Here is a 10,110-nt window from a genome sequence, read left to right on the forward strand (position 1 = left end):
GTTGATGGACATTTAGATTGTTTCACTTTTTAGTTACTGTGACTAATGCTGCTGTGAACACTGATTGATGTACAAGTTTTTATATCAACATAGTTTTGATTTTTCTTTGAATTCTCTTGAGCCTATTAGAAGGAGTGGAATTGTTGGGTTTTATGGTAACACCATGTTTAACCCTTTGAGGAAATGTCAAACTGTTTTCCAAAGTGGCTACACATTTTGTACATCCTGGTAGGAACATGTAAGGATTCCAATTTCTCCACATCCTTGTGAGCACTTGTTATTTTTTGTTTGTTTTTATTATAACCATCTTAGTGGGTGTGAAGTGGTATCTCATTGTGGTTTTGGTTTGCCTTTATGTAATGACTACTAATGTTGAGAATATTTAATGTGCCTATTTTCCATTTGTATATATTCTTTGCAGAAATGTCTGTTCAGATCATATGCCCATTATAAAATTGGATTGTCTTTTTATTGTTGAATTATAATAGGTACTTAAATTTAAATTAATTAACTTTAAGTAAAATAGAAAACTTAGTTCCTCAGTCATACTGGCCACATTTCAAGTGCTCAGTTGCTGTGTGTGGATAGTGGCTATGTTATTGGACAGTTGCAGATAAAGATAATTTACATGATTGCAGAAACTTCTGTTGGACAGCACTGGCTTAGAACCACCATGATTGATCACTTATAGCTGGGCATATGACTTCTCTAAATAAAATTGAGGTTTTGTTAAGCTAAGGAAGGATTGGTACTCCAGAAAGAGTGAGGTGTCCTGGTCCCAGAAAAGGAGGTTATGCAGACTCAGTGTATAACTCCTAAAGATGCATCAGAGTTTACCAAGGGAAGAACTGGGGCAGGGGTTGAGTGGGAGGGCAAAATTCTAGACCAGGGCTTGGCAGATGTCTTTTGCAAAGGGTCAGATAGTAAATATTTTGGCTTTGCTGACTATATGATATCTGTTTCAACTATTGAACTGTAACCAAAAAGTGTCTGAGACAGATTTCAATCGATTTAGAGAGGTTTATTTTGCCAAGGTTGAGGAAGCACCCGAGAAAATAAACACAAGTTACGTTAGGATCTGTGACTGGTGTTTTGTCCAAAGAGGATTGTGAGGACTTCAGGATTTAAAAGGGAAAGAGTGAGCAGGAAGGGAAGGAGGAAAGAAAAAAAAAAGTTTGAGGGGCATAGGCGATGAGGCAAGTGGTTACATTCTTGTGAGGCTTTGATTAGTGCTCACCAAATCCACAGTTTACATGTGAAAAGAGGAGTGGGGGAAAGTCATTTATGCTCAGTAAATCTACATTTTACGTAAGATAAAGGAAGCATGTGAAGTTACAGCAACCCATTTGAGAACAAAAGGATGGCAGTTTTTTGATTTTTTCTTTTTTTGTGTGTGTGTGTGTGACTCAGTTCCCAAGCTTAACTTTTCTCTTTAACATAGTGAGTTTGGGGTCCAAAGATTTTATTTTCCTTTCACACAACTTTGTCCTTATAGTGAAAAAGCAGCCTAAGACAGGCCATAAATGAATGGACATGGCTGTGTTCTAATGGAACTTTATTTACAAAAACTGGCAGCAGGCACATTTGGGCTACAGGCCAGGGTTTCCTAGGGACAATACATAGAAAAGTATGGAAGCCAGAAGGGGCCTGGCATACTGAAATAAAGAGAATGGTAAGACGTTTGGTATGGCTGAAAACTGGCTGTAGGAGCTATGGCTGTAGAGAAGGCTAGGAATAGAGACTGGAACCAGATTATAAAGGGTCCGCAATGCATATCAATGTTGTTTTGTTCTGGTTGGTGGTGGTGGTTGTGGTGCTAGTGGCAGTGGTGGTTTTCTAAAATCCTCTAAGTGGCAAGAAGCCGTCAAATATTTTTAAGTAGGACATTATATGATTATGGCTTTTTAGACAACCCTCTGGCAGCATTGTGAAAAGAATATTGGAGGAAATGAGGCTAGAGGTAAAAAAATACCAGTTAAGCTTTGTATTTTGTATTAAAATAAAGATCTGGTAATTATCTTGCTAATTGCATCAGTAGAGACATAGACCACCAAGCTGATAATTCTTATCCTGACTAACCTACTCACTATGAGCTGAGTAAAAAGCAGTATTGATTTAAATGAGTTATGAAGAGTGGGGCTTGGATATGCTCTTTTTATATCCCAGGGGAATCACCCTGGAAACCTAGAGAACTGGTTCCAAGTATTCATCTGAGAACATCTGTGACTCTCAGAAAGTTATGAGATTGGAGTTGTACGGGGAAACTCGCTGTGGCCTTGGAAGAGTTGACTTCTAAATGGGGTAGTGAACTTATTCTCCGTGGCTCAGTTCTAAAAGGCCCTAAGAGGAGAAAAGGATTCTTGATGAACTACTAATTGATGATTTTAGGTCCAGAGTTAAGCATAATATGGAGGTTTGCCTGAGAGTGTCTGCCGTCAGTGAAGATGAATTATCCATGTGGGCTTAGAAAATCACACATGCAAATTATGTGTCAATGGATTTTTTTTTCAACATGCTAATCCTAGCCTTTGAGTACACAGCATATTTTCAAAGCCAATTTTGCAAACAACTCTATGGTAAATGCTGCTAAGCTGTTGATAAGTTGGCTTTCCATTTGTAAGCCTATTAGTTCAGAATCTTCTGAAGTTTAATTCAAAATGAGATAATGTGTAGTGATTTGACAGTTTTCATTCTGTGACGATGCTCTTCAAGAAAGCATCTTGGCTTGTTCACTAGTTGAATCCTCACCAGTTCCTGAAATTATGAAATGTAAATTTGTTATAAGCAGCCGCTTTGGGCCCTTCACAAGGCAGAATTGTACCTTATCCCTGAGTGGAAATAAATGAACATCTCATGTGTGTAGCTTCTCTCTCTCTGTACATCCTGACTCCAAATGCTGTGAGGCACCAGAAAATGTCTCCTGAATCTGATTTTGGGTGGCTGGATCAATGTCCAGAGGGAATTAGGAATTTTTCCAATGGTGGTACAGATAGAGGTGATAACATTAGAAAAGACTGACCCTTGACAAGACCCACATTAGTGAAGTCGTTATTCCCAAGGAGTTGGGTATGTACTTCCCACGTGTTGTGAAAACAGGGCTCTATTACCTTGCCAGCAATACCCCAAAGGCAGAGGCTGTATTTGTCCTTGGATCTCAGTCTTTGACATTGTTTTGGGAAGGTATGATGAGAGGCATGAGGAAACCTCATCCATTTTGTGAGTCCAGTGTACTTAAACGGTAGAGACTGACTCCAGGGCATTTGGAGTTCACAGAATTTGTCAAATTATTTTTCAAGCTTGTAGGGTTCAAGACTTCCCCAAATGTATTTTTCCAAGTGCTTGTACCCTGGTGTCCATTAAGGGAAATGTACTCCATATGTTTCTAATTCTTCTACCCTGAAATGATCAAAATATTATATTGCTGAGATCTCTGAAGACTAGAAAGATCCTTTTCAATTTTTTTTTTCTCTTTGATGACACTAACAGAAATGGGTGATCCCAGTAATCACAAAGAGGCTCAAATTCACTCCCAAATGCCCGGCCACCAAGAAGCTTTGGACATAAGTATTTTTTGGGGGTATTTGTGCCAACTGCTGTTTTAGGACATGTTTCTGATAATGCTTTACACTTACCAGAAAAGCTGTTTTTGAAAAATCCAGTGTTGTCTTACAATCATTAATTTAAAAAAAAAAAGTTTCCCAAGTATTTTCTTAGAGCAAGGAGATCTCTTTCTGATGAAGAATACACTCTAGCCTAAAAAGCCACTTAGGTGGACCAGTTTCTTTGATTAACAAAAGTTACAAAGGGGAAAAGAAGAGTGTTAGAGAGGATACCTGTAACAAAAAGAGACAGGAGACATATGGAACACTCGTGGTGTGTCACCCTTATTTGAACCCTCATTCAAACAACAACTGTTAAGAAAAGTAAAACATAGGAGGCATATATCAATACAGAATGGCTATATGATGATATTAAGGAATTATTCTTTTTAATTATGATATTGATAATTAGCTATTTTTTGAAAGATACCTCCTTTTATAGATACATGCTGAAATATTTACAGAAAAATTTTTTAAAAGCCTGGAATTTGTTTAAAAAGAATCAGGGTGTGGTATAGTTAAAACTCCTCCCTCCCTCCATCTCTCCCTCTCCCCCTCTCTCCCTCTCCCCCTCTCTCCCTCTCTCCTTTTCTCCTTCCCTCACTCCCTTTTCTTCTTTTTTCCCTCCCCTCCTCCTTCCCCTCCTTTCTCCCCCACTGCCCCAGCTTCTCTTCCCTTCTGTTCTCTTTTTCTGGCCTTCATTTGGGCTGACAAGAAGAGGATGCATGTTTTATATCAGGTTGGCAGGTATACTTGAGATATATTGTCTTGGCAATACAAAGGCCTGACACTTCCTAGGGACCCAGATGGGTATTGTAGATGTTTAGGGCATGCCTTGACCTCTGAGTAGCCTTCTTGGGCTTGAGGTCTCATTTGACTAGACTACCACTCCACAGTCAGCCACTGTGGTCTGTTTTTTAAAAACGTTGCCATGATGAGAATGTGAAGGATTTGGGTTGAAGTTAAGGACACTTCCTTTTTATTATTAGTCTGGAGTTTTAAAGGAGATACCTGGGATCCCACCCTTACTTTGTTACTTTGATTTGGAGTCAGCCCTTGGCTTTGAGAGTGTGCTGTGATATTGGTCTGATTTAATCATTGCCTATGTAGAAAAAGAGATTAGATCACTGGATCCCAAACTAGCCTCAGAAAGTAAGTCATTGATGGCAAGAATCACCTGGAGAGATTTTCAGTTTAATTCTTAAAAAATTTAGTGACGATACTTGGATAACCCTCTGGGAATTCTGATTCAGTAGTCCTGGGTAGAAATAGAATCTAAATATCTGTAATTTTATCAGGTTTCTACACGATTCTCATGTTCCAATAGTTTGGTGATTTACCAGGTTCAATGCCTTTTAATAGATTCAGTTGCTCAGGAGCAGATTGAGGTTGTATTTCCATATAGTCCTACCTTGTAAAAAATGGATGTGTCAAGTTTTTTGTTGGTGTTATTGTTTTTAATTGTTATTTTGACTTGCTGGGCTGGGCGTGGTGATTCACGCCAGTAGTCCCAGCAACTTTGGGAGGCTGAATTGGGTGGATTGCTTGAGCCCAGGAGTTTGAGACCAGCCTGGGCAACATGGAAAAACCGATCTGTACTAAAAAACTGGAAAATTAGCCAGGTGAGGTAGTGCGTGCCTTTAGTCCCAGCTACTCAGGAGGCTGAGGTAGGAGGACTGCTTGAGCCCAGGAGGTTGAGGCTGCAGTGAGCTGTGATCATGCGCTGCACTCCGATTTGGGTGACAGCGAGACCCTGTCTCAAAGGAAAAAAAAAAAAAAGGTTACTTGCTTATGAATAAGACCTTCCATATAGCAGTTATTATATAAGCACTAGGTAAATATTAATAAATGGCAAATACTAAAAGGAAAGACAGGAAAAGGAAAGGCAACTGATATTTATTGAAGGCCTACTATTATAGTAAACTTGACTCATAATTTATATTTTCTTCTTTAATTTTAACCTTGGCATGCAATGATTATTACCCAATTTTGTATTCAGTAAAATTAAAGCCCAGAGAAGTTTAGTATTTTTCCTAGAGTCACATAGTAAACACGTGGCAGCAGGGGTGTTTGGATACTATTGTGCCAGGCAGCCTTTCCGAACACTCCAGCCTATTTCTCAATTCTTTCTTGGCTCCAGAGGATTGTGTAGCAGGAGGGGAAATCTGTTCAGAGATCAGGAAACTGGACCAATTGGGCAAGCTGCCAGAGCTTCCTTTACTGGATTGTACCAGCAAGTTTGTTTTTCTCTGTCCAATACTGGGTAAAGGTCCCACCGAAAGCCTTTGTCTCTGCTCAGAATGCCTGGTATGATCTCTGGGAAACTATTTGGCAAAGGAGTGTGGCAGCTGAAGCACAGAAGCCTCTCCTAGGTGGTTCACCCATATCTGATTTTTTTTTCTTTGGCACCTTGTAACAGACCTGAGAATGTTGAAATTTTGTGCCAACGTGGACACCATTCAGCATGTCAGATTTCTCTGATACCGTGAAGATCAATATGTTGGATGCAAAGGAAAAGTCCCAGCAATAGATTCCAGCCCTCACTGCCACTTACCTGGTATATTACAACAGCCTCCATACTGGTCTTCCTATCTGCAGCCTGTCCTCTGCTTTCCGGCCCACTTTTCTCAGGGGGATCCTCTTTCAAATAAAGGTCTGATTATGTTCCTCCAATATTAAACCCCTTCAGTGACTCCCCAGTTCTTGAGGAAAAAATGCTGAGTCTCTGAGCATAGCACTGAATACCCTTCCTGGTCTGGCCCTGTTTCTCCGCATGCTTCTCCCACTCCACCCAGCTTCTGGCAGGTCATACTACCGTGGCTCACCAAAGATGCCTTGGAAACCAGGTACTTTCATGTCTCTGTTTCTCCAGCTGGAGTTTCGTTCCTTCTTTGACCTGCCTGGCAAACTCCTATGCATTCTTTGATTCCTACTCCTTCATGAAGCCTTTCAGCAGTTTCTTTCTTAGCACAACTCTACCACCTTGTCTCACCTGTTCACAGACATCTGCCTGCCTCCCTCTCTAGGCTATGGTGCCCTCCAAGGGGAGGCAAGGTGTTGTTTTCAAATCATTCACAGTACTTACTACATAGGCCACTTACAGTCAGTGTGTAATAACTGAAGGAGGACTTGAGTGAATAGGCAAATAAAGATGGTTACCATGATAGGCCGAGATCTGAAAAGAAGCTAATAATCAATGCATGAAGATGTGTGAGGAACTTGTGTGTCTTCAGTACCATTCTAAATACCATACAAATACAGGTGCCGCCAGAGTGCTTGCACATGGCAGCTTCACAGCCCATTTGAGAAGTAGAATTAATACATGTGAAGAATGAGGCCGGGCACTGTGGCTCACGCCTGTAATCCCAGCACTCTGGGAGGCCGAGGCAGGCGAATCATGAGGTCAAGAGATTGAAACTGTCCTGCTCAACATGGTGAAACCCCGTCTCTATTAAAAATACAAAAATTAGCTGGACGTGGTGGCACACGCCTGTAATTCCAGCTACTCGGGAAGCTGAGGCAGGAGAATCGCTTGAACCCGAGAGGCAGAGGTTGCAGTGAGCCAAAATCGCGCCACTGCACTCCAGCCTGGCGACAGAGTGAGACTCTGTCTCTTAAAAAATAAATAAATAAAATAAAAGAATGAGTAAGAAAACCAAGAAAATATGCAATTTAGTTCAGCTTGTTTGGTGCTGGTAATACTTTATTTTTCATGTGTCGATTTTTGATCTCCACCTTGCACTGTGAGCTCCCTGAGGACAGGGACTTTGTCTTGGCAATTATGTCTTCACACTTGGCATACAGTCAGTTTTCAAGATATGTTTGTTCAATGAATAAATGGATGGTAGGCACCATTCAGTGCTGTTTAGGGTCAAAGGAAGGCATGATTTGTGTGGGTTGAAGTGGTCAAGGAGGGCTTCACACATAAGCCAGTTATGAAGGATATAGGCATTGAAGAAGCACTAAAACTGGTTGTGAGCTTTACTCTTCAGAGAGTCACAGTTTTAGAAAAGCTCTTGCTCTATTGGAAAGAATATGGGTTTTAGACCAAATACATCTAGAATCAAATTTGGACTCTTTCCCTTATCTGCTATGTGATCTTGAGATCTCTGAGTTTCAGTTTCCTTGCCCATAAAATGAAATCAATATTACTTCCCTTAGAATATGCTTGTGAGCCGTAAAAGCGATATCATATATAAAGCATGTAGCATAATGCCTAGCGTACATTAGGCTCTCAATAAATGGTAAGTAAAAGCTGATATATAGGTATAGTGTGTCTGAAATACCTGGGAAACATGGATTATTTGGATGACGTAGTAACATTTGATTAAATTTGCATGATTATTATATTGGCACATAACAATTAGAATTATAATAGATTCCAGTATTTTTATGGCCTTTTAAGTGTGTTTTGGGGATTTCTATCACATTTCTTTACTTTTTTAACATTGGAAAATTGGAAATGGATATTTGCCCCCAAATTGTCTGATATATAGATCTCGCCCTTCCCATTACACTTGTGAAGGGAAGGCTTTTCTGGCAGGAGGAGCATAATGCGTAGAGGAGGGAAAGGGAAATGAGCTTTCCATTTTGGGAGAAAAATTAGAGCTACTCTTCCAGTGACAAACCGCATTGCCTGGCTTTCCTTCTGCAGGCTCTGCCTCATGCCTGTGTTCCTATAGACATTGGAGTTAAAGCTCTCATTCATGGTCATGATTCTCGCCTCTGTCTAATTCTTTTACTTTGTCGTGTACCATCTCTCCTTTTCCCACTGTTTTTTCCAGCCACCTCTGTTTCTTTTGGTTTCCTTGAGCATGTCAAGTTCTTTTCTGGCCTATGTTCTTTGAATTTACTGTTCCCTTTGACAGACATTCTTTTCCTCTGGCTCTTTTCATTTTTCAGAAAATCAGCTGACTCCTTACCCTGTGGTGGTATTGGAGCCAAATAATGGAATTGATTTTTCAGTGTTTATTCCACATAATTCCAAGGAATATGATTTTAAGAGTGTTCACAATTCATATTTTTTTTTAATTTTTGAAATTGAATAAGTTTCAAATACGAAAATTTAGGAACATGATACAAAACTTTTCTCTGTGCACCACTGGAGTACTGCTTTTGAAATCAATTCTCTCTGTCCTGGATTACCCTTAGAGCTCCTGTCTCCTGCATGGAGGAGGGTGGAGGGCATTTAACATGTCCATCTCTCACCCCATTCTACCTGAGCTTCCAGCACCACCACCTCTGGGCAGTTCCGCTTTTAGTCAGCAGCTCCCAGTTCCCATAATTTTGACTTCTGTCCTTGCTAGTCCAGAAGAAATGGCTCTTCTGGGATTGAATTCCTCCCTTTCCCCAGCAGAAATGGATTGGGGCAGAGGAATTGCGGAGCTCCATGGCATAGAGGGTCCTGGAAGGCTTGTCATTAGGGTATCCAGGGTGGGAAGGGGAGTGAAGGGAGGGGAAGGAGGAAGGAATTGAGTTGGGAAGAGTCAAGGAGGATGAATGAAGTTGCTGACTGATGTCTGGAATAACATTATTTCACCCTCAAAAATACCAGTAATTCAGGACTGAAAAATAAATTTCACAATATGTTTTAATTTCAAAAAGTGATAGTGTATTTGACATTCTTATCCAGCCTGGTCTCACCTCAGGAGTTCCCCCATTGGAGAGGCCATCCCTGAATTTCTAACTCACAGGCCTCCCCTACGTTAATATATTTATGTCCTCCTGGCCCTTGTTTACTTTTTACTTGTTTACTTTTGCTTTTGTTTACTTGTTTACTTTTGCTCCATGAAGTCAGGGACCTGCCTGCTTGCTCCGCAATCCCTAGAACTGTGTCTAGAACCTTAGTTGGTTGCAGTAAATATTTGTTGAATGGATGGATGAGATGGTTGTAGCAATCTAAGTTGCTTTGGATGAGATTAACACTGAAAAAAAAAAAAAAACTGGTTGCCTGCAATTCTGTCAGCCAGTCCAGGCAATGCTAATACAGCTTTGATTATTATGATCATGATTATTATTTTGTTTTGAAACCTTTTTCAGAGGCCAAGCATGCTGGGGACTTGAGGGACATAAAAATCTTTCAACTGATTATGCCACCTGCAAACAGGATAAGCCTGACTTTCTACCTCACCCACCTCTTGCTATCACAGATATGAATCAACGAACACACAAAAAAGGTTTTCAATTCTCCCTTTGGAAAGAGGGCACATTTAATATTCTGAGTCAGGCAAGGAAAGACTCTAGCCACAAAGACAGCTGGGAACTCAGGTCCATAGCAGGCACCCAGGACGGAGGTGAAGAGAAGGCGCCTCCCTGTCTGGTGACAGCAGCTGGGGCCCTTGCTGCCTCCCTCCCCACAAAAATCCAGTTGGGACCAGTGCATGCTGGGAATCTGCCTGCCTGACAGAAACAGATGGCCTCAGGTGGTGACTGATCTCTTGGTGACACTAACTGCATAGCTGCTGCTTTACTCATGACCGAATGAGACACGAGATGGCGGAGGTAAGAGTTG

At 40.8% G+C, this 10,110-nt stretch overlaps 1 protein-coding gene across 56 annotated transcripts in view; it reads left to right on the forward strand.

Moving 5' to 3' along the window:
• Positions 1–10,110, forward strand: part of FGGY (FGGY carbohydrate kinase domain containing) — a 466,353-nt gene that overhangs the window by 120,955 nt on the left and 335,288 nt on the right. The window contains exon 1 of one of the 56 annotated variants that reach the window (XM_017001677.2): positions 1–10,100. This exon is cut by the window's left edge and continues 24,020 nt beyond it. The exons of the other annotated variants lie outside the window; for them this stretch is intronic. The gene's annotated coding sequence lies outside the window, so the exon portion shown is untranslated. The remainder of the gene's footprint in view (positions 10,101–10,110) is intronic. 56 annotated transcript variants of the gene reach the window in all.

Source organism: Homo sapiens, chromosome 1 (assembly GCF_000001405.40).
Source record: "Homo sapiens chromosome 1, GRCh38.p14 Primary Assembly".
Lineage (NCBI taxonomy): Eukaryota > Metazoa > Chordata > Mammalia > Primates > Hominidae > Homo > Homo sapiens.